This window comes from Homo sapiens, chromosome 11 (genome assembly GCF_000001405.40).
Source record: "Homo sapiens chromosome 11, GRCh38.p14 Primary Assembly".
NCBI lineage: Eukaryota > Metazoa > Chordata > Mammalia > Primates > Hominidae > Homo > Homo sapiens.
This window is the reverse complement of record NC_000011.10, coordinates 45,484,277-45,510,024: the sequence shown is the minus strand read 5'-3', so window position 1 is coordinate 45,510,024 and position 25,748 is coordinate 45,484,277. Positions and strand designations below refer to the sequence as shown.

General features: G+C 44.3%; 1 long non-coding RNA gene across 2 annotated transcripts in view; it reads left to right on the top strand.

Moving 5' to 3' along the window:
• LOC105376654 (uncharacterized) overlaps window positions 1–23,177 on the top strand; it is a 55,627-nt gene extending 32,450 nt beyond the window's left edge. For both annotated transcript variants that reach the window (XR_931245.4, XR_001748204.3), the window contains exon 5: window positions 20,254–23,177. This is a non-coding gene — a long non-coding RNA (uncharacterized LOC105376654). The remainder of the gene's footprint in view (window positions 1–20,253) is intronic.
• The last annotated feature ends 2,571 nt before the right edge of the window (window positions 23,178–25,748 follow it).

Below are 25,748 nucleotides of genomic sequence, written 5' to 3'. Positions count from 1 at the left end.
GGAGGATTTAAATCCAGGTCTTCAAATTTTATAGACCATATTCTGACTACCAAGATCTGCTAAATGTATGATGCTGCCACCACTGCCTGCCTGCACACACACACACGCGCGCGCGCACACACACACATACTCTCTCTTTCTCTCTCTCTCTCTCTCTCTCTCACACACACACACACACACGTGCATGCACATACATAGAGGTCATTCTCCTGCTTGTTACAGTGGATCAAGCCGTAGCAGGAGATGTGGCTTCAAAGTGTCTATTCTGTAAGAACCAACTACCTGTGGCTTTTGCACACACGACCTGGACCCGTACTCTGTGCTTAGCCCTAGCCCTGTCTCTTAGCTCCAAATGTCTGTCTCACCTTTACTTACCTGGTCAATTCCTATTCATCCTTTAAGACTCAGCTCAGATGTCAGCTTTTCCAAGAAGCCTCCCTAATACCTGCTTCTCTGTGAGCTGCCTCAGAGCCCTGTGATCACCCATCCTGAAGGCATCTATCACATTGTCTCAAAAATTAGCTCCTCAAGAGCGGGGGGCCATTTCTCATTCTCTTTAGTTCCCCAGGACCTAGGACAGGGGCTGACATACAGTAGGTGCTCAATAAATGCTTGCTGAATTTAACTGAACCATGGAACAACGTTAGCCATGGAACAACGTGAATATCTCTGATCTTCCAAGCCCTTGTTTTCCCATCTGTAAATCACGAATAATAATAGCTGCCCTGTTTTACTCTGCAGGGGTTTTGTGATGCTCCCTTAGGAAACTGGCTGTGAAGATGCTTTGTAAATTACAAAGACTGTGCACATGTAACAGGTCATAGAATTGATGGTGATTCTTTACAACAGGTTTTCTGGCCGAGCACAAGTTCTCTTGGCCCTTTGAGCCTCAGTTTCTGCATCTGTGGCATAGGCCAAGCTCTGCCTGCTGTACAGGTTATTGAGGATCAACTGGGATGGCATATATTACACAATTGTGTGTCCCCCAGATGGAAGGACTGGCTGTTTCCCATTAACAAATAATTGGGAGGTAACCTGATTCAGCTTGGACAGAAAAATCTACCCCTGAGCAGAGGCATTTTGCTCCTTCCTTTTTGAGATGGAGAAGAACAAAGAAGAAAACAGAAGGTGAGACAGAGAGAAAATCTATTGCTCTGTAGTCCCAGCATCCCCAAGCAAAGGCACAGACACAGGTGACAAAAGTACTGGGCACTTCTGGGGGATCAAGAAGCTTGTTCCAGCCAGAAGGATCTCAACAGGAAACTCATGATCACATAAGAGGAGCCCTGAAGGCTTTTGATGCCAAACCCACCTGAAGTCACAGAACTGGAGTGTAGGCTGTGTTCAAGCTAGAAGAGACATCCCTGCCCTCAAACCCAGAGAGGCCAGGCAAGCAGCTTCCGCTGCTGTCTGCTACCAGATGGGTCACCCTCTATCTCTTAGACTTGAGATGACCCCTCCCTGGCACATCACCTCTCCACCCAGAGCTGTTCCCGATATTTATTAGGCAGGATGGAATTTCATTTTATACATAACAAATAAATAAGGTGTTCTTCTAAGTTCTTTATAAACGTCAACTCATTTAATCCATAACAGTCCAATGAATCCCATTTTACAGGTGAGAAAACTGAGGCCCAGGGAGTTTACACAGCTGGTGAATGGTGGAGCTGGGATTCTAGCCCAGGCAATCTGGCTCCTGAATGAAGGCTAGGCAATGATTCTCCAAACACTGGAGGAATGGCCAGGTCAGGCTGTAGATCCAACCTGTGGTAGGAGGGACAGAAGCTGTCCTCTGGAGGCCCTCAGCAAGCCTGGGGTAGGTGCAGGACTCAGGGGAGTGTGGAGCCTGTGTTGACCTTGATTTCCCGGCTAGCATGGGGGAGCCCCTGAGAAGGCGATGGGGGGCCTGTGGTCTGATGAGCCTGGGCCCACCTGGAGCAGTGAAGAGGTAGAGGGCCCCATGGGAAGCTTCCATTGCCTGGGCCTTTGCCTGAGACCACTGGACATCTGGATGAGAGAAAACAAAGGCTTGATGTGTCAAGCATTCCCTCTGTCCTCTCGGGCTTCTCGAAGCCCCTCTGGTCCACCATGCTGCCTCCCCACTCCTCAGAAGCCTGACATACTTAGTTTCCTCGGCCAGGATTTTTCTTTTCTCCCCCAGTATCCTCCTCCCTCATCCCCCTGCCCCCCCATTTCCAACCCATCTTTCCCATCTCAACTTGAACATCACTTTCTGGGATGTGGCTCTCAGTCCACAGGCAATGTTGGCTTCTCCAGTTGTAGATTCTCACAGTGTCCAGAACACTCACTTTGTAGCTCTTTAGTCTCACCTGTAATTAAACAATTCATTGTGCAGTTGTAATTTCAAAAATAGCATTATTGACCTGTACATATTTAGGGTTTAAAATGTGATAAGTTTTGACATATATTAAAAGAAATGGCAAAAACCACAATTACTTTTGCACCAATCAAATATACTCACTCATTAAAACATCACCACAGTCAAGATAATGAACATATTTATCTTCCCTAAAAGGTTAGCTCATGACTCCTTGTAATCCCTCCCTTCCTCCCGCCAACCCTCTCCACCCTAGATCTAGTCAACTGATCTAATTTCTGATTGGCATTTTGTAGAATTTTATACAAAAATATTCTATGATGTATACACTTTTTGGCTTCTTTCACTCAACATAATTATTTTGAGATTCATTCATACTGTTGTGTGTGTCAGTAGTTCCTTTTCATTGCAGAGTAGTATTTCATTCTCTGGATAAAGCAAAATTTTTTTAACTATTCACTATTGATGGATATTTGGGGTGAGTCCAGCTTTTGGTGATTGCAAATAAAGCTGCAATAATTATCTGTATATAAATCTTTGTATGGTTATATGTTCTGATTTTTCTTGAGTAAATAACTTAAGAGTAGAATGGCTGGGTCATATGTGGTTGCTGTATGTTGATGTTTTAAAAAACTGATAAACAGTTTTCCAAAGTGGTTGTACCATTTTACACTCCCTCCAGCAATGTATGAGAGTCCCACTTCAGCCACTTCCTTGCCAACGCTTGGCATGTTCAGTCTTTTTAATTGCAGCTGTTACAACGGATGTGCTGCATTAACTCACTGTGGTTTTAATGTGTATTTCCCTGATGATTACTGATGGTGAGTATCTTTGCATTTTTCTGTTTGCCATCCATATGTTTGCTTGGTGAAATACGGGTTCAAATGCTTTACCCATTATTATTTTTGCAATTGGGGCTGGGCCCAGTGGCTCACGCCTATAATACCAGCACACTGGGATGCCAAGAAGGGAGGATAGCTTGAGCCCAGGAGGTCAAGGCTGCAGTGAACCATGATCATGCCACTGCATTCCAGCCTGGGCAGCAGAATGAGACACTGTCTAAAGAAATAAAGAAATAAATAAAAATAAATTGGGTTGTTTATGATTGTAAGGTCTTTATAATTAGACCAAAAGCTCTGTGAGGATAGAGACATCTTCTCTGTTCATTGTTGCAGGTGAGGCTCCAGGGCCCAGCACAGTGCTAGGTATACAGTTGGCATTCAATAAATGTTTGTTAAATGAATGAATGAATGAATGAATGAATGAAGGGCATATCTCTGTGTGGCTCAAGTTGGCCAAATATGCCTGTGGTAGGGTCAGGAGAGAGTCAGCAGATATGCCTGTGGTAGGGTCAGGAGAGAGGAGAGCAGTTAGACTCGACGATAGCGGGAGAAGTGGAAGGTGAAAGAAGAAAGCAGGGCCTACAGAGGCTATATCCGGGTCCCTGGGAGGATCCCTCACCCTGGCTCAGGACCCAAAGCTTTTTCAGTGAGCGAATTCTACCCAAAATTTCAAGGACTTCTGGGGTCCATTGTGGATCCCAGCTTATTCCTCTCTATTATCAGGTCCCCCAGAGACCTCATGCCAAAGGCTTGCTGATGGGGAAATGGCAAGCCTGGGAAGAGGCTTGTGGGGAGATTTTAGGGCTTCAGTCACAGCTGCATGCCCTGCCCAGAGTGAACAGTCTCAGACTTTGAACACAAAATGGCACTGCCTTGAAAGCTGAACTGACCCTATAACCACAAGACTTGAGCTGCTGATCCCTGCAAGACAAGGCTGGAGCTCACGGGGGAATCCTTCCAAAAAGTCTGAAAGCTGGAGCTCCCTTTTCCACCTCCTCATTCTCCCTTTGTCCCAGAGACAGCTCTCATGCTCATGGTGGGCATGGCATTTAGACTTTCAGAGTTATTTCCAAATGAGGTTTCATATCAGCCACTGGATTGTGCATAGGCGGTGGTGAAAGCCTCAGGTAGTTACAAGCAAACACTTAATGTAGGCCACAAGGCTCTGTACCGTGGCTTTGCCTTTCTCCAGTCTGCACAAGTGTGCCTCCACTCGTCAACCTGGGTTGTCTCCACATGCAGGAAGGGCTCCCTTCTTTAATTGTTGGATGGGCACCCATTAATTTGAAAGGAGAAACAAGGTGTGTAGGCTAAGATCATCCATGCAAGTACTAACCCGGCTTTGCTATCGTCTTCATTTTTAATATCTGGTGAGCCTCAGAACCTGGAGGCCTTAAAGTTTCCAGCTCAACCTCTGTGGGGCTGAAACAAACAAACAACAAGTGGACCAGGTGGTGGGGGCTTTGGGGCTGAGGGGCACTGGGCCATGTAACCTCCTCCCTTATGTCCCAAGACAAGGGAAGAAGGAAGCCCAGGATGTGAACCCCAGGAGGGTCTTTAGGTCTAACGAGGTACAGTCATAGATGGACATCACAAATCCTTCTTGATCTACAAATGGATGAGAACCAGGGAGAGGTGACCATGAGGATATTGAAACAGCACTGGTTTCAGTCTCAACTCTGCCGCTTATGAGTACCAGATCCATCACTTACCCTCTCTGAGCCTCAGCTTCCTCATCTGCAACATAGGAATAATAATGTTCACCTCATGGGGCTGATGAGAGGTGTGATGGTTAATTTTACATTTCAACTTGGCTAGGCCACGGTACCCAGATATTTGGTCAAACACTAGCCTGGATGCTGCTGTAAAGGTATTTTTTAAGGTGAGATTAACATCCAAATCAGTAGGCTTTGAGGAAAACTCCTTCATAATGTGAGTGGGCTGCATCCAATAAATTGAAGGCCTTAATAGAAAAAATGACTGATCTCCCCCAAGGAAGAAGGAATTTGGCTAGCAGACTGCCTTTGAACTTGAGCTATAATATCGACTCTTCCCTGTCTAGCCTGCCAGCCCACCCTACAGATTTTGGACTTGTGTGAGCCCATTTCTTAAAATAAATCTCCTTCTGTCACACACACACACACACACACACACACACACACACACACACACACACGCCCTGTTTGTTCTGGCTCTGTTTCTTTAGAGAACTCTAATACAGGAGGATTAAATGATAAAAAAATATAATGACAGATGCAAGACAGAGTACAAACTGTGTGATTCCATTTATATGAACTTCCAGAAAAGGCAAATCTAATCTATAGTGAACAAAAGTAGGCTATGGTAGCCCAGGGCTGGGGTTGGAAGATGGACTGCAAATTGGCACAGGAGACTTTTTGGGATGAGGAAATGAGATGTGGTTTTGTGGGTATACACATTTGTTAAAACTCATCAAATTGTAATCTTAAAAATTGGCCAGGTGAGGTGGCTTACACCTGTAATCCCAGCACTTTGAGAGGCCGAGGCAGGCAGATCACCTGAGGTCAGGAGTTTGAGACCAGCCTGGTCAAAGGGTGTAACTCCGTCTGTAATAAAAATACAAAGAATTAGCTGGGCGTGATGGCATGTGTCTGTAGTCCCAGCTACTTGGGAGGCTGAGGCACAAGAATCGCTTGAACCCGGGTGGCAGAGATTGCAGTGAGTTGAGATTGTGCCACTGCATTTCAACTGGGGTGACAAAGCAAGACTCCATCTCAACAACAACAACAAAAAAGTGTTGGGACAACTAGATACCCCCATTTGAAAGAATGAAGTTGGATTTCTGTCTTACATTTTACACAAAAATTAACTCAAAATGAATCATACCTAAATGTAAGAGCTAAAACTGTAAAGCTCTTAGAAGAAAATATAGGAGTAAAATATAGGCTTTGCCTACCCCAGTATCTTAGGTATGAAACCAAGAATGCAAATGACAAAAAAATAGGTAAACTGGATTTTATGAAAACTAAAAACTTCAAAGATGTTATCAAGAAAGTGAAAGGACAACTGACAAAATGGGGAAAAATATCTGCAAATCATGTACCTGATAAAGGACTTGTACCTAGAATATATAAAGAACCATTAAACTTAGTAATGATAAAACAAATAACCCAATTTTAACATGAGCAAAGTATCTCAATAGTTCTCCAAAGAAGATATATAAATGGTCAATAAGCACATGGTAAGATGCTCAATATCATCAGCCATTAGGGAAACGCAAATCAAAATCACAATGAAATATCACTTCACGTCTATTAGGGTGAGAATAATTAAAAAGACTGATAATAACAAGTGTTGGTGAGGATGTGGAGAAATTGGAACCCTCATACATTTTTGGTGGGAATGGAAAATGACACAGCTGCTTTGGAAAACTGTTAGACAGTTCCTCAAAAGGTCCCACATGCACGTGACCCAGTAATTCTACTCCTAGGTATTATAACCAAGATAAAAGAAAACGTATGTTCATACAAAAACTTGCACATGTATGTTCCTAGTAGCATTGTTTATGGTAGCAAAAACATGGAAACAACTCAAAGAATGAATGGCTAAATAAAATGTGCTATATTCATACAATGGAATATTGTCTAGCGGTAAAAAGGAATGAAGTACTGATGTGTGCTAGAACACCAATGAACCTTGAAAGCATTATGTTAAGTGAAAGAAGCCAGACACAAAAAATCATATTGCCCATAATTAGCAAATCTTATGGGGGTAGAAAGTAGATTAGTGGTTGACTAGGGCTGGCGGGGTGATGGTTGGAAGACATAGGGAGAGACTGCTAATAGATCTGAATTTTTGGTGGGGAGGGATAATGAAATAGATTGGGTGATAGTTGCACAACTATGTCAGTATACAAAAAACCACAGAGTTGTACATGTCATGTGGGTGAATTATATGGTATATAAATTATATCTCAATAAAGCTATTAAAAATGAGTGCATTTGGTTGTGTACAAATTATATCTCAATGAAGTTGAACAAAGATTGCGTGTTTGTGCGTGCATGTGCACATGCACATATAGATGTATATAGCAGGCACTGTTGCTATTCTCATTTTCAGTTGAAGAAATTGAGACCCGGAGGCACAGAGAGGTCAAGTGACTTGCCCTAAGGGAGGGAGTCAGGGCCCCACATCTGTTGTTAGGGTCAGGGGAGACTCAGGAGTCACTCGGCCAGCCAGGAAAGGTGTGAAGAAAGTAGCTGTCTGGGTGCTTCTAGGAGCTCCATGAGCCACAGAGAGTTTCCATATGAACCAGTGCCCGCAGGGACGCAGTACTTGTGAGCAGGGGCTGTGTGTTTATGCTATGTATCGAGGCCGTGCCAGGTGCCAGGACCTGGCTAGAAAGTTTTCATTAATTACCTCATTGAGTACTGTGTTCACAGCCACCCCAAAAGGGGGATGCCAGCCCTCCTCCATATCACAGAAAAGGCAACCAAGGGACTGGGTGACTCATTCAGTAGCTTCCCTGCCAGCCCTTCCTGTCCACGGCAGGAGCCGGGGCCTAGATAGTCCTGGTGTCCAGAGGCCTCCTATCCCCCTGGGCCTCCATCTGTGTTGGGCCACTCTTCTCAGATCCCATGGGCCCTTTTCTAGGCCCTGGGGTGGCAGTCCACCCCCACCCCCAGATTTACTGCAGAGAGGCCATGCTCCTGGAGTCTCCAGGGCACCGAGGAGTTGAGGTGCTTCTCTTAGTAAGATGACCTGTGTCTTAGACTGGCGCGGTGGTCGTCCCACAGGCCAGGGACCCAGGTCTGTTGCTCAGACCTAGCTTGAGTCCTGGCTCTGTTCTGAGATGCTGTGTGACCCCTGGTCATTGCTGTCCCTCTCTCAGCCTTGGGTTCCTGTTTATAAAACAAGGAGGTTGGGCCGCATGAACTTGTGACACTCTGTGGTCCCAGAGGTTGTTTAGCCTGGGGGAAGGGGCTTAGGGAGGGAAGGTCAGTGCCTGCAGCCCATCAGGAGGGCAAAGTCTGGGCACAGACAGTGTTCTGTGTCATTCAGCCTCAGCTGGCCTTGTTAGTCCCCTGGCCTTGTTGACAGTGCAGGGTTTAGCTTTACAAGCTTGAGTTTCCCTTCACTGAGCCCCTTTGGGAGCAGCCTCTGAAGCCATCGGGCAGAGCTGGGGCCGGTCGAAGGGGTGGCTCATGCTGGCTCTCTTTCAGCCCAGGGAAGGCTAGCCCGGCAGAACCCTCCTGCTATGAGAGCTATTTTTAAAGAGCTTCTCTCTCCCTGAGGGTCTCCCAGTTTTCTGATGTCAGCTGTTTCCTCCCTCTGTCTGGACAAAGGGAGTGGGATTTCAGAGACTTAAGCAGGGATGTGGCTGTGTGACCCTTCATTAATGTCATCAGCACAGCATGGGGCTCAGAGGCCACAATGGGATTTGTTCCTATGTTTAATTCATGTTGCAGGGGCTTTAGTTCAATAATACATTTATTTCAAGAATGAGAGGAGAGACGGGGCCACAGAGGGGTGGTGAGGGATCCAGGCAGGGGAGAAAGAGAGACAGAAAGACTTTCTGAGAGTTCTTTAAACTCTGAAGCAACCAGAAAAAAGAGATTTAGAGGAAGGAGACAGAGTGACCGAGTGGGATAGGGTTGTACCTGTCGGTAGAGGCTGAGCCAGATACAGACCTGAATGTGAATCTTGGCTTTCCCTTTGACAAGTTATGTGACCTTGGATGAGCTATGGGTAAAGCTCCATGATGCAAATAGTACAAATAACTAAATCACGGGTTTTTGTGTGTGTGTGTGTGAAAATTAAAATTTAAGGTATATAGTTCCTAGAACAGTGTCTTGCTTATAGTCAGCACTTAATAAATGTTCCTTCTAGACTCCTTTTACCATTATTTCTCTAGACAGACTGCTTGCCATTTGGGGCAGGGACCAAGTCTTATTCATCTCTGGGTCTTGCCACCTGCACAGAGACTGGGGTATATTCCAGGGGCTTTGTAAATGTCAGTGATGGAAGGAGCTCAATGGTGGACGAGTCTTTCCAGGAGTGCCAACCTGTGGATGCACCAGGCAGCCACCCAGAAGTGCAGAGCTGGCAGGGGAAGTCCTGGCTGGTGGAGGGACCCTTGTGGTTACTCCCATATCCCTTTCCTATCTGTGGCCTAGGCTTCTGTTGGTCCCCAGAGGTGCACTAAAGACCTCCGTCCGTTCATTTGGCTCCTTCATCTGGCAGTCTGGTTGCCATGGAAACCGATGGTTTCACAGGACAAAGCACAGGGAGACTGAGCGATGGACAGAAACTTGCAAACACATTATGTAGTATAAAAAACGGTCTGGGAGGCTGTGAGGTGCAATAAAGGTTTCACTGCCACTTGCCTAGGAAAAAAACCACCATAAAACCTCTATAAGCCCCAGCTGAAAAAAGGTTTTGTTACCATGTTTATATATTTTCTTTTATTCTTTTCTTCCTGTCTTGTTGGTGGTTTTGTTTTTTTTCTTGGCGTCAGATCTTAGCAAATCACAGCCCAGGAATGCTGTTGAATACATTGTTAGCCCTGTGGTCCTGCTGTCTTCTTCAAATGTCCTGACATTCAAACCTCCTCCTGCTTAGAGCCCCTGAAACTTTCTGGGCACCCCTAATTTCACATGTCTAACCAGCTCTGTTTTTGCTTCCCAGTGTCAGGCCTAGAAAGGGCCAGAGGGAAGCAGGGGACACCATCTTCTCTACATCCCCAACAACTATAGTCTTCATGCTGATGACAGCCTCCTCTTAGGTTGATTTGGTTTCTTATGTTAAAATCCCAGTGTGTAGGGAAATCTCTCTCTAACCATGTTTTTCCTATACTTTCACATCACAGTAACAATCATCAACACAGAAGACTTCTGTGACCAAATGTGTGAAGGTTTTTCCCCATGTACCAAGCAGCAGACACTAGCTGGGTATGCTGTAATCCAGTTCTGACTTGGAGACACTGTCAGATCCCACAGGTGGAGGACTCAGTCCCCAATACTGCTCCTCCCCACATCAGTTGAAAGTCTGGACTTCCAAAACTTCTGACTGACCTGCTTCACATTGGAGTTCCCATGATGGCCTCTTTGGGTTCAATTCATTTGCTGGAGCAGCTCACAGAACTTAGGGAAACACTTATGCTTACTGGTTTATTATAAAGGATATTGCAAAGGATACAGGTGAAGAGATGTGTAGGGTGAGGTATGGGGGAAGGAGGGCAGAACTTCTATGCCCTCCCTGGGTGCACCACCCTCCAGGAACCTCCAGGGTTCAGCTATACTGAAGCTCCCCAAACTCTGTCATCTTGGGTTTTTATGAAGGCTTCATGATATCAGTATTCCTTCCCTGAGTGTATAGGGTGGGACCCTCTCTGGGAGGGTCTTCAGACCCACCATCAGAAAGGCATGGGAAGATTAGAGTCCTGCCTTGGGGCAGGCGAATGGAGCGCAGGACAGAGATTCTGTTTTCTGAGGCCTAACATACGCAACATGATAACAAAAGACCATCACAAGGGATATGGGAGTTATGAACCAGGAACTATGAACAAAAACCAATAGATACCATAACACCATACCTGGGATGGTGGGGGAACTTCCACTTCTAGCTGAGGGAGTAAGAGAGTGCAGAATTATGCTCAGGCTAAAAACATCAAAAAGCCACAATAAAATATATGAAACAACTTTGTTTCATATATTTACAAATTTGGTTACCAGGCAATGCAAGACTGTGAGCTCGAGAAGGGAAAAAATGAGGTGAGCCCTGTGATACTTGGCAAAAAGGGGAAATCTAACAGAGCACAGCAGTCTAATTGACTTGAGGAGGCAGAGGCTGGAATTTGTGGAAGCTGAGGGCAGCTGGAACTTGTAGGACATAACAGAGAGGAGAGAGGTGTGTGTCTGTGTGTGTGTGTGTGTGAGACAGAGATAGAGAGAGAGAGAGAGAGAGAGAGAGAGAGAGAGAGAGATTGAGAGCAAGAGCTAGAGCCAGCTTTCTGCAGAGGGAGGCTCTCAAATATTTGGCTGAATAGCTGAATACTGGTTTAAGAATGCGTGGGGTGAAACTTCATGAGGCTGGGATAAGCACCTAAGTACCACTGGAAACCAGTAGGCTGAGTAATTCCCAGAGCTCAGAGGGGTCTGGGAATGGTTTATGTTCCCCCTATCCAGATTGGCTAGACCTCAAAATATGTGAGGCATAAGAAAGAGTCCTTCAGAGTCCTTAGTAATGGAGCTAAATAGCCTCAGACTAAATGCTGCTTTGGATTTGCCCTAATAAAGCTTATATAGCAACATTCAGAGAATCAAATTGATCTCAAATGACTTAACTGCATGCCAATACATTCTTTAAAGGAATACAACAAAATTCAGCACCTAGAACATAAAATTCGCTGTGTTCAACATCCAATATGATCCACAGCCCAAGAGAAAAACCAATCCATTGAAACAAGACCCCTAAAAGACAGATATTATGAAACTAGCAGATGATGGTGTTAAAACAGTTATCACAAATATCCTTCATATGTTCAAGGAGGTAGAGAAAAACACAATTATGATAAGGAGATACATGAAAAATACAAAAAGACTGAAATAAAATTTTCAAAAATGTATATAATTTGAAAAATACATTGGGGGTATTAAAAGGAGATTAGCGACTGTAGAAGAAAAGATTAGTGAACTTGAAGACAAGCCAATACAAACCATCCAAAATATAGCATAGATTTTTAAAGGACAGCGAGAGAAAAAGAGAGAGTGGGAGAGAGAGGGAGGATGAAAAAAGTAGTGACCTATGGGACAATATTAAGTGGTCTAGCAAGATGGTAGATTTAAATCCAAACATACTGATAATTGCATTAAATGTAAATGAGCTAAATACCCCAATTAAGTGAACAGATGATCATTTTGACTAAAAAAATCAAGACTTAGTTGTATGCTGTCTACAAAAATCTCACTTTGAGCATAAACACTCAGATTAAAAGTAAAATAATGAAAAAAGATATACTATGCAAACACATCAAAAAAAGCTGGGGCAAATATATTAATATTAGACAAAATAGACTTCAGAACAAGGAACATTAACAGATCAATTCATTAAGACGACATAATGATCCTGTGTATGTATGTAATAAGAGAGCCTCAAAATACATGAATGAAAACTGGTAGAATTGAAAGAGGAAAAAATAAAGTATTCACTTACACCTGGAAATTTCAATACTTGTCTCTCAGTAATTGATAGAACAAGTAAATAGTAAGGATATAGAAGACCTGAATCACACTTATTAACTAACTTGAATTAATTGACATTCCTAGAATACTCTACTCAACAACAGCAGAGTACACATTTCTTTGAAGTGTCCATGGAACATTCACCAAGAATGACTATATTTTGGGCCATAAAACAAGCTCAATAAAATTAAGAGTATTTAGATTGTACAAAGTATTCTCCCTGAGCACAACTACAACAGATTTAAATTAGAAATCAATAACAGAAAGATATAAGAAAGAATCCTCAAGTGTTTAGGAATTTATAAAGCATACTTCAAAATACTTCATAGATCAAAGAATAAATCAGAAGCAAAGCTTAAAAATATTTAAAATTGAATGAAAATGAAAACATTATGTCAATAATTGTGGAATTTGGCTAAAGCAGTGCTTAGAGTAAAATTTGTAGTAATAAATCCTTCTATTACAAAATAAGAAAGGTCTTAAATGAAAGATATAAGCTTCCAATTGAAAAAATAGAAAAAGAAGAACAAACTAAGCCTAAGTAGGTAGATGCTATAAAATAATGAAGATATGAACAGAAATCAATGAGATTGAAGACGACAACAGAGAAAATCATTGAGGCTGGATGATCAATAAAATTAACAAACTTTTAGCTAGCCAGACCAAGAAAAAAAAATGTACCAACATTAGGAATTTTTTTTAGGGTATTACTACAGGTCACATAGGCATTAGAAAGATAATAAAGGATATTATGAACAATATTTGACAACCTAGATGAAATGGACAAATTCCTTGAAAGGCATAAACTACCAAAGTTCACTCAAGAATAAGTAAATAACTGGAACAGCCCTAAATCTATTAGAGAAACTGAATTTGTTGTTAAAGACTTTCTCACAAAGAAATCAAGGCTTAGATGCCTTCATTGGTAAATTGTACCATACATTTAAGGAAGAGATAATATCAGTTCTATAGAAACTCTCCCAGAAAATTAAGTAAGAGGGAAGCCTTCCCAGTCATTTTATGAAGTCGACATTATCCTGATGCTAAAACCGGATGAAGATGTTATAAAAAATGAAAAGTACAAACTAATATGTCTCATGAAATTAGATGCAAAAATATGTAATATGTAATTCTATCATATTGTGGCCAGAAATACATTAAAAAGATAATATATCATTAAGAAACCACAACAATCCCCCAAAATTGCATATTGTATGTTCCATTTATATAGCATTCTTGAAATAACAAAATTATATAATTGGAAAATAGCTTATTGGTTGCCAGGGTTAAGGAGAGGGCAAGAATGGGAGGGATATAGATATGGCTATAAATGGGCAACATGAGGGATCTCCATGGTGATGAAAATGTTGTGTATCTTGAATGTATCAATGCTAATATCCTGGTTGTGAAATTGTACTATAGATGTTATCACTGGGAAAAACTAGGTAGAAGGTACACGGGGTCTCCTGTATTATGTCTTACAACTGCATGTGCATCTACAATTATCACAAAATAAAAAATTTAATTTAAAAAAAGTTTTGAAAAAAAATAATGAGGATACCTAATGTTGGCAAGATGTGGAACAATGAGAGTACCCATTCATTGCTGGTGGGAATAAAAAATGGTACAGCCACTTTAGAATAGGCTGGCAGTTTTTTTCATAAAGTTAAATAGATACTTACCATATGATCCAGTTATCTCACTCCTAGGTATTTACCAGAGAAAAATGAAAACATATGTTCCTAAAAACACTTGTATGCAAATGTAACAGCATTTGCATATTGTCCCTAAACTGGGAACAATCCAGATATCCATCAATAGTTGTTAATTGATAAATAAATTGTGGTATATCCATAAAATGAGGTACCACTCCACAATATAAAGGAATGAATTATTGATACACACAACTTAAACAAATCTCAAAAGCATTATGCTAAATGAAATAAGCCATCACAAAAGGGTATAGACTGTGTGATTCCATTTATATGATATTCAGAAAAAGGCAAAACTGTTGAGCTAGATCAGTGATTGCTATGGTTAGAGTGGGGATAGGGGATGACCTGCGGAGGAGTAAGAGGTGACATTGGAGGAGATAGAAATGTTCTGTATCTCTGCTGTGGTGCTAATAGTTATGTGACTCTCCACATTTGTGAAAATTCATTGAATTGGACACAACATTGATGAATTTCATTATTTACTCACTATACCTCAACAAAACTGATTTTGAAAAATCCCATGATGATGACTCTGGCAGAGATCTTGGAAGTTATATAGTCTGACACCCTCATTTTGGAGGAAATGAAAGTAGCCAGGGATATGAATGGGGCAGGAAGAGTGTCAGGGATGCTGGCATGTAGGGAGGACAACAAGTGGGTCTGTGTGGCTGTGGCACTGGGGGGTGAGATGTGAAGGGGACTGGGAGACCAGGTAGGTCCCACAGGGAGGAGAAAGAGGTCCAAGACACTGGGTGCTGTAAGCACTTCAGGCACCTTTGTGTAGATTAGAAAAAGTCATCTCCTCTGGGTTGACCAGCTGGAAAATAGGCCCCCTGTGTGTGAGCCAATCAGTAAAAGGTGCCAGAATGCACAGACTGGGGAGCAGATTTTACCCCCATTCATAACCTCTCTGCCAAATGTCCCCCTGCAGTGCACAGCTATGAGGCAGGCCTGCCTGAACCCCAGGTGGTGTTATCTGGGCGAGCATCATTCATTGGTGAAAGCGGGTTTCCATTGCCCTCCATCTCCATATACCCAGCTGCTATCCATCCCCTGGGGTGTGGGTTAGCTGAGCCCCTGGGTTGTTCCCAGCTCTTCAGCTGTTCCCATCCCAAGCAGTCTTCCCTAGTGCACATGAAGGTAAGGTTACAGTATTTCTGGCAAATATACAGCATTGTATGAACTCTACAGAGCCCTCCCCTGCAAGAGTCTCTTGTAGGCTCCTCCAGCACAGCACTTAGCTACTATCCATCCCTCTGTGTACACAGCAACATTCCTAGACATGTACCCTAGCCTCTTCCCCCACATGTTCATCAGAGCGTTCATCCTATTATATACATCCACCTCCCCATGGACATACATAGGCTATAGTTTTCCCTACAAACTCCCTTCATGGCAGACATTGTCTTTTGAAAAGCCAGTGTGTACAATCAATTAGTTTCCCATTTCAATCAGAGGCTATTTATTCTTTTGAAAAAGGAACCAGCGCCTTGGCTTGCACTTGAACAAATGTCCTAGGAGTCCCTTTCTATCCCCTTCTCTCATATCTGCCCACAGATGTCAGCTTCTGTTCTTGGAGCTTAATCTTGGGGCTGTGGGAGGCCCCAGGAGCACTCACTCTCACCCTGATTCTGAATTCAAGATCCTGGGGCTTGGGAGGGATGGAAGCCCAGCTCTTGGAATTCCCACACTACATGAGCTGCAGTGAAGAGATAAAGCACATGACTGCAAGCCTCTGGGCAGATGCTCATTGGAACCATGAAAACCGATTTTCCAGAATTTCCCCAGGTGGGCATTCTAATGACTCACAACAGGCAAGCCGGCCTCACCACAGTCCCAGGCATCAAACAGCCCCTTACCCCTCCCTATGTGTTAGCTGCCTGGAGAGAGGGTGGCCTTCTTAATGACAGGTGGGCCAGGTCTCTGAGGACTGAAGACCAGATCAAGGATGAATTGTCTCCCGGAGTTGTCATATGCCTGCCCAATGGGGCTGTCCTGTGGGAATCCATTTATTAAATCATCAGAGATTTACTGAGTGCCTACTATGTGCCAGGCAGCATTCAAGATGCTGTGTAGACAGCAGTGAGCAGAACAGACAAAAATCCCTGCATGCATGGAGCTTCCATTGCAGTGGGAGAAAATAATTCATAAGCAAATCTGCATCTGTCAGTTGGCAATAAAAGCCATGGAAAAAATAGATCAGAATAAGGGAGATTATTCTTGCTGTAAATAGGACAATCCAACATGGTCTCACTCAGGAACTGATATTTGAGCAGGGCCTGAATTTATTGAGGAAGTGGACCAAGCCAGTGTCTAAGGGAACAGCATTCTGACAGAGGGAACAGCAATTGCAAAGACCCTGAAATCACAGCGTGACTCGAATGTTTGAGGAGTAGCAAGAAGGCCAGTGAGGCTGGAATGAAGTGAGTAAAGGGAATGTAATAGTAATTACGCCCTGTCTAATACATCATCAGTTCCTCTGTGGTGTGCTTCTAAAACACACCTAGAATCTGTCCATTTCACTCTACCCATAGTGCTATCAACTGAATTCCAATCACCGTCCTTGCTGACCTGAACCAGTCTCTTCTCCACTCTCACCTCTTCCCTCCCATTCATCCTCCACACAACAGCCAGAGTGATTTTACTGTGGCAAATTGGATTATTATTCCTAATCTTTCATTTCCTCCCTGTAATAATTGTATGCCCTTTGCAATATGAATTTTCAGTGCCTCCCACCAGTGCAGACAGTGTATTCTCCAGTCTTGTTGATCGGGGTCTTGGTCATGTGCCTTGCTTTGGTCAAGAGCATTTTAATGGACTCGATGCAAGCAGTGGCATTAAATGAATTTGTGTGGTTTAGCTTGGTCTTTTACATATCTATCATGTTCCATGAAGAGAGCATGCCTTGATAAACACTGGTTCCAGAATGAGAAACATATGGAGAAGATCTAAGATCAACTATTAGTGTGATTCGTAGCCACCCCAGCTGGCCTGCAACTGGCGAGACAGAAAATTAACTGCTATTGGGAGCCACTGAGATTTGGGAGTTGTTTGTTATGGAGCATTATCATAGCGATAGCTGACTAATACACTTGCTGTGGTATTTAAAATAAAATCCAAACTCTATACTGTGGACTATAAGACCCTACCTTATCTGGCTCTACCTTGCTCATCTCTCCTTTGATCTCAACTCGTGTCACTGTCTCCTTCTTACACATGATGTTTCAGCCACTGCAGTGTTCTGTTTCGCTCTTCACATACTATTGGATACTACCCCCACCTCATGCCTTTGTACATGCTATTCTCTCTGCCTAGAGATCTCTTTCGTGTGACTTCTGCATGGGTAACTCTTGCCTTACAAGTCTCTGTTTAAATATTACCACTTTAGAGAAAGCAGACAATTCAAAGTGGCTCCCACTCACTCTGTCTATTTTCTTCATGGAACTTATTGTTTGTTGAAATTATTTACCAAATATTATATTGGCTGGTTTATTGCCTCTCTTCCTCCTCTAAAATGTAAAATCTCTGGAAACAGTGACACCAAATGTTATTCAACTTTTATCCCCAGTGCCTAACACAATGTCCAACAAAAGTTAGTTCTTTGAAAAGATTATTGAAATTGATAAGCCCCTAGCAACACTGAATAACAGTAAGAAAGAAGGCACAAATTAGCACTATCTAAAATGAAAAAGGGACAGCACTACGCATCTCACAGACTTAAAAATAAATAATAAGAGGATATTATGAGCAATTTTATGTCAATAAATGTAAAAGCTTCAAAGAAATGAACAATTCCATAAAAATATAACTTAACAAAATGGGCACAAGAAGAAACAGAAATTCTGAATAGTAGCATATCTATTAAAAATTGAATCCATAATTTTAAAGCTTTTCATCAAGAAAACTACAGGCCCAGATGGCTTTGCTGGTAAATTCTTCCAAACATTTAAGCAAGAAGTGACACCAGTCTTTCATAAACTCTTCCAGCGAATAGAAAAAAAGAGAGCACTTCTCAGCTTGTGTTATGATGCCAGCATAACTTTGATACCCAAACCCAAAAGAACATTGAAAATTGAATCCAGCGATACATAAAATGGATAATATATCACAACCACATGGGTTTATTCCTGGAATGCATCTTTAAAATGATCATGTAGTTTTCTTCTTTTCCTGTTAATGTTACACACCATAAAGAGCAAATGTGAAACCAAACTTGCATTCCTAGAATCAACCCGAACTTAGAGAAAGGCCAATTCTACACAGCCCACAGGTTCTCTTATCACATCTCTGACCCCAAGTCCTACCACTCCCCACTGGTTCGCCCTACTGCAGCCACAAGGCCTCCTGCTGTTCTGCAAACACCCCAGGTGAGATCCTGCCTCAGAGCCATCACACTTGCTATTCCTCTGCCTGGATCACCTTTCTCCTAGACAACTACATATTTAGCACCTTCACTTCCTTTTCTCAAATCCACCTTCTCAATGCAGCTTTCCTACTTACTCTGCCTAAAATTCCTATCCCTCTCCCACTCCTGATACTTTCTAGCCCCTTTTACTCATTCATTTTTTATCCTTAGCCTTTACTACCACCTAATATACTATACATTTAATGTATTTCTTTTGCTTATTGCATGTCTTCTCTAATGAGAGCAAAAGAACCATGGGGGCAGGGGTTTTTGTCTGTTTTTGCCCTTTCTGCCCTCTGTAGCTCCTGGATCTGGAACAGTGCCTGGCATTGATACTAAATATTAGCTGAATGAAGGAATGTCTCAATGTCCTTCATAGGAAGGAAGATATTCAGCAAACGCTAAGAACTTGCTATATTCCTAGGGGTGCTGGAAATGCACAAATGAGTCAGGCTCCATCTCTGCCCTGCAGCACATTAGGGGAAGGAGGTGAGGGGGAGACTCAGATACAGAAACAATTCAACTCAGTGGGTCAGACTTAGCCGATTTTCATTATTTGAGGTATTATATTCTGTAAGGTCACTGCAAACACTGAATTAACAAATATTGAACCATTGCTCCTACTGAAAATACAAGGTTAGGTTCCTGCAGCTCTTTGGTCATAGTATTTTCATCAGCCAATCAATATGTGACCTTGTTTTATGGGTGTTTCTGTTTAAAAACAACATACTTGACATATATCGTTGATTTACTAACATTGAACTCACAGCCAACAGCACTGTATTATAATTCATGTCTGAATGAAACTTACCCAACACATGTTATTTTTCTCCATAGGGCGCCTCTTCTTATGCTTGGGGATACTGGTCGGCACTTCACTGTGCTTGGGGGTCATTTTAAGCAGCAAAATCAACAAAATGCACAAAAATGTGAAAAACCATGGCACTAAGTGGACCATGGAAGGATAATTGTTTGCAGTATGAGGCAGAAGCAAGAAGACAGAGCGCCTTGTGGAACCTCAGCTGATAAAGTGTGCATGGAATGACTCAAATTTTTTGCACGTTTGTGAATGACCTGAGTATTGATGTGGGGGTTACAAATAAGTTTTAGTGAGCAGATGAATTCATAAATGTGGAATTGCTAATACAGGTTGAGTATCCCTAATCCAAATATCTGAAATCCAAAATGCTCCAAAATTGGAAAGTTTTTGAGTGCCAACATGATGCTTGAAGGAAATGCTGATTGGAGCATTTCCGATTTCAGATTTTTGGATTTGGGATGCTCAAACAGTAAATGTAATGCAAATACTCCCAAATCTTAAAAAATTTGAAATCCGAGACACGTCTGGTCCCAAGCATTTTGGATAAGGAATATTCAACCTACTGTAATGAGGATCAACTCTATTTAATGGGGCATCTGCAATTTACTGGGCATGATCCCAGAGCAGCATAAAAGTTGAAAGAGAGATGCAATAGACAGGGTGGGGTGGGGCTGCGGCTGGAAACCTCATCTCTAAAGGAGGCAAGGTCAGACCTCAGGCCCAGAGGAAGACCTGGCCAAGTGGAATGCTTTCCCAAATCTCCTTTCTGAGACAATGTCCCCTCCACCATCCCTGCCACCTGCTTTTGACAAACACATTTGCAATCCGCTAACCATGCCTGGTTTGAATGACTTGAGTTGTCAGGTCTGATTTTGTTCTCTGAAAGTCGATTTTTATTTTTAATTCTTCCAGTTGCTCCACAGAGCTGACAGCTTCCCACAGTGTGTGAGATGTGCCACAGCCAGGGGAGATCTCAGGAAAAAGAGGCCCTCTTCAGGAGTGAAGCTGCTTATGTGGATTTCCTGACAGTGTGGACTAATTGTCTTATCTTCCACTCTCTACACTAAGAGTATTTACACAGGAATGACGCAGAGGCTTTTACCTCTGCAAGCCAATTCCCAGGGCTGAAAGCCCACCTGAAATTCCCATCCCCCATCAATGATGCCACGATGGTTTCCAGAGCAACCACGAGGGATGGCATGGTATGGGGGAGGGAACAGTGGAGATCAGGAGGACAGGAGCCCTCCTCAGTGTGAGCCCTTCCCCAGCTCCCCCTGCATCGGGAGCCAGGTGGGAGGGAGGCAGGAAGGGTGTGTGCCTTGATGTTCTGGGCAACAACCCCACTGTTTCTCCCCTTTTCTCAGTATCGGGATTGAATGTTTTTGTGATGCAGTCTGCACAATGGCCAGGCACTTATAACACTCAGAGAACATGGGTGGTTTCTGCATCATTTATTCTTTTCTTTTTTATCTCCAATGTCCCATACCATTCAAGTATTTGTGCACCCAGTCTTTTCCGTATGCTAGGCACTGGGGACTCAGAGGTGAAGAGATCAGAGGTGGCTCCTGCTCCCGCTGAGTTTACAGTTAGAAGTGGAGATGAAACAAATACCCTGACATGTGCCGTCCTACCTTCACTCAAGACAAGGGCAAGGGAAGAGAAATTAGGGAGCAGAGGGAAGATTTTATAAGAGAACCTAATCTAGTCTGGGGATTTTGAGAAAGCTTCCTGATGGAGGTGACATTTACATTGAGACTGGAAATGTGAGCAGGAACTGGCCAGATGAGATGTGAGATGGGGAGGTGAGGGTTCCAGGCTGAAAGGACTGTGCAGAGGCCCAGTGGCAGGAAGGCAAACCTGGGGAGATCTCAAAGATTGTCTTGACCTACTGTCTTTCCTACTTTTTTTTTTTTTTGAGACGAGTCTCGCTCTTTCGCCTAGGCTGGAGTGCAGTGGCGTGATCTCAGCTCACTGCAAGCTCTGCCTCCCAGGTTCACACCATTCTCCTGCCTCAGCCTCCCAAGTAGCTGGGACTACAGGCACCCACCACTGCGCCCGGCTAATTTTTTGTATTTTTAGCAGAGACAGGGTTTCACCATGTTAGCCAGGATGGTCTCGATCTCCTGACCTCGTGATCCACCCACCTCGGCCTCCCAAAGTGCTGGGATTACAGGCATGAGCCACCGTGCCCGGCCTCCTACTTTATAGATGAAAAATCTGAGGACAGTGACTTGTTCAAGGTCACACAGAGAATGAGGAACTGGACTGGGATTGATCCTGGGGGCCATTCCCTGTCTTCTAGCTCTTTCTCTGGTTCCATCAGGCCTACCAGTTCCAAACTTCTCCCAATTTCTTTCTTGGATCACAAGTGATATATCTGACTTCTCTCCCTCAACCCTCAGCACTGAAGGCACTGACTTGGATGTGGGTCACTGGGGAATGTTCTTCAGGTGGGAGGCAAGAGAGGAGAAGCCTTTATGTTTGAATGGGTGCTGCCATGACCAGGCACATCCCCCAGGCTGATGGTGGCATGCGAAGCGGAGCAGGGCATGGGTGAGTCACCTCCTCACCAGCATCTGAGCCAATACCTCCTTGTCCATGGCTCTGCTGTGGCCCTGGTGTGGCCCAGGGACTCCAATGTCCATTTCCTTCAGAGAGGCGAGTGGAACCTTCTGGTTGGAGGCCTTGTCAGAGCAGCCCTGATAGACTTGGGGATCCCAGAGGCTAAAGGGAGCCCTGGCAAACAACAGACCCAGCTTGGAGTCATGGAGCCTCTCCAAAGGTTCTGCTGGATCTTAGGCATCTTCTGGTCCTCCCTTCCTGCTCTAATGATGAGGAACTTGAGTCCAGAGAAGGGAAGGGATGTTATTCAAGTCCACACAGGGACTCAGAGGCAGAGCTGGTGTCCTGCACCTTACTCCAAGGCTCTCAGCAGCTTTGAAGCAGAGGACTATGGGAGGCCTTGAAGACTCCATTATGCGTGGTGCTGACAGCAATGTCACCTTCCCTCAACACCTGCAGTACCAGGCAGGCTAGCAGCCATTCGGTCAGATTCTGATCTGCCCTGGAAGTACATAAGATACTACCAAAAATAAGAGTTAGAACCTAGGGGATAGGCCCGTGGGCAGCATCCTCACCCTTTCTCCACCGATGCAAATCTTACCCAGGGACAAGATGGCATGGGGTCACCAGCTGTGGGTCCCCCCTGGGTAAATCACTTAGCCTCAGTTTCCCCAACTCTAAAATGGGGATACTGACCCATATTTCATGGTGTGGCTCTGAAATGAAATGAAACGTGAGCTTCCTTCTCTCCCCAGCCACCATTTGGTCTATAGCTAGCAATGCCTTTCTCTTTCTCTTTCTCTTCCTCTCCCTCTGCCTCTCTCTTTCTCTCCTCGTGATGGTTAATTTTATGTGTCAACTTGACTGGACCACAGGGTGCCCAGGCATTTGGTCAGACATTATTCTGGATACGTCTGCGAGGGTGGTTCAGGAGGAGATTAATATTTGAATGGGTAGACTGAATAGAGAAGATTGTCCTCCCCAATGCGAATGGGCCTCATCCAATCAATTGAAGACCTGAGTAGAACAAAAGGGCTGAATAAGAGGGAACTCCTGCTGCCTGATGGCCTTGAATGGGGACATCTGTCTTTTCTTGCCTTTGGACTTGAACAGAAACATCAGCTCTTCTTTGGTCTTCAGCCTACTGGCTTTGAACTACACCATCGGCTCTATTAGGTCTTCAGCTTGCTGACTGCGGCGAATCTTGGGACTTCTCAGCCTCCATAATTGTGTGAGCTGATTCCTTATAATAAAATTTTCTCTCTCTCTCCAAATGTGTGTATATGTGTGTTGGCTCTTCATTCAGTTTCTCTGGAGAACCCTGACTAATACATCCCCTACCCCCAGTTCATCATTCGGAGGATTTGGGCCTCCAGGTCTGATATCTGCAAGCAGTCTATTCCCAGCTGTTTTTCTCAGGACCCCGGCCCCACCCAATCCTTTCTGGCCTCGACTTCTGCCTTGGCAAGTATGCTCGCATCCCATCCACAAAGGAAGAAAGATCGCGATGAAGCAGAGCTAGCCCAGAATTCTGAGTTCAAACCCTTGCAGTCCTCATCTGCTAATGGGGCTGAGGGCCATTCCTTGTCCACCTCACAGGATTTAATGAGGATGAAAATGGGATCCTGAATTTGCTCCCTCTCCACTCCCTTCTAGGATATAAGGTGTGTGCCTTCAGGGCCTGCATCTTGGCTACCTTTTAATTCCCATCCCAAGCTCCTGGCACAGGACCTTACTATCCTACTGCTCCCGTGAATTTTTTTTCTTTTTTTTGAGACAGATTCTCAGTCTGTCATCCAGGCTAGAGTGCAGTGGCACGATCTTGGCTCACTGTGACCTCTGCCTCCCAGGATCAAGTGATTCTCCTGCCTCAGCCTCCCAAGTAGCTGAGGTTACAGGCACATGCCACCACACCCAGCTAATTTGTGTATTTTTATTACAGACAGGGTTTCACCATGTTGGCCAAGCTGGTCTCAAACTCCTGACCTCCAGGGATCCACCCACCTTGGCCTCCCAAAGTGCTGGGATTACAGGCTTGAGCCACCATGCCAAGCCTCCCATGAATGTTTGATGACTGACTAAAGGAGTATAAAAGGAACCTCTATGTAATTACAGGAGACACCTGTCAGAGGCTCCAGGACCCAGAGATATGCAAAAGACATCCTATTAAATGAGATGGAAATTAAATGACAAGCCAGGCCCAGGCTGCTGGAGGTGGAGGAGGGGAACACTCCAGAATCCAGAGTCATCAGCGGCTCTATTCCAAATGGTGTTTTCAAGCAAACGGTGGAGCCCAGTGAACCTTGGACTTGAAACTCTTTCTAAATGAGTCTTTAATAATTTAGTTATACAAATTGAGCCTAATTAAATTGTACCCATTGAAAACGCACTGCTGTACATCTGAATGATGAAATCGGGATCAAAAGGCAATACAGAATAGATGCTAAGGTAATTTTCCACTTGTGCTAAGCAAGCTGGGATCTTCAAACTGCAATTGCGCTGAGTGCCCACCTGGGATTATTAAAGGGCCAGTCCTCCAAGTTTATGGGAGAACTCAAGGCTGGCACCATCTCTCTCTTCCTTGGGCTGCCTGCCCCTTGGCCTCCAGAGCAGGGGGCAGGGGAGGACAGGAAGGGTTCACAGACTCCTAACATTGCATCAGCTTCTCTCCCGTCCTTGAAAACACTGAGCTTGCCCCTGCTGTTCCCCTGTCTGGAATGATTCCCTTGATTCCAGTCTGTAAGAGGCTGAGTCATCCTCACCATCCACATAGGGGTTTAACTGCCCCCTTCCGAACACGCTTCCTATGACCCCCCAATCTAAAGTTGCCTGCTCTGCCATGCCCACCTCCCATCACTCCGATACCACCCTGCTTTGTTTGCTTCAAAACACATCACTGCCTGGGAAGCATCCTTCATCTTTGCACTTGTCTCCTCACCCCTGCATCGAGACCCAGAATGTAAACTCCAAGAGCTCAGGGACCTCGTCTGTCTGTCTGTCTTGTTTTCTGCTGTCTCTCTCTCCAAGGCCTTAATGCAGAGAAAGTGATAAATGAGTATGTGTTGAGTAAGATCCTCAGAGCTGGAGGATTCCAGAGGTTGAACAGCCACCTCCATTTTGAAGCCTAGAGAGCGGAAAGGGCTGTTCAAGGCCACCCAGCAGGTTCCTAGGCAGCCGTGGTTCCTGGTCCAAAGCTCCTTCTCATTTCTCCTCTAGCCTCTCAGTGTATTGGTTGAAGGTGTGGGCCCTGGAGCCAGAGTGCCTGGGTTGAAGTCTCACCTCTGCCTTTACTGACTGTATTGACCCTGAGCAAGTTCCGGAATCCAGCCCCCTCCTGTATAGAGTGGAAATAATGGTAGTACCCAGCCCTAGGTGATTGTGTAACCAGCCATGCGAGGTGGTTTTATTATCCTTGCATTTCGATGGAAGCAGCAGAGGTTCAGAGGGTTAAGTGACTTACTCAGAGTGACACAGCCAGCAGTGGCCAGAAAAGTGACTACGATCTCAGGTCTCTGCCCTTGACACCACCTCGGGGCTGCTGAATCCTGCCTCCTGGAATCTTCCTCTTTCCCTCCACTTCCTCCCGCCGCTGGCACCTGATTGATAAAGGCAGGACCGAAGCCTTCTGCTCGCCATCCTCTCTCCTGACAAGGCTGCCTCTTGTCAGGTCTGAAAGGCAAGTTTACAAGGTATATCTAAAAGCCTCCTGGACAGGGGAGCTGGTTTACATGCCTTCAGGGCCGGTTCAGTGTTCTGCTTCTAATGAAAACAGACTCCCGGTTCCTGAGTGAGCTCAGAAGAGACTGTGGGCTGAGAGCAGGCAGAGACGGTTGCTGCAAGGAGGC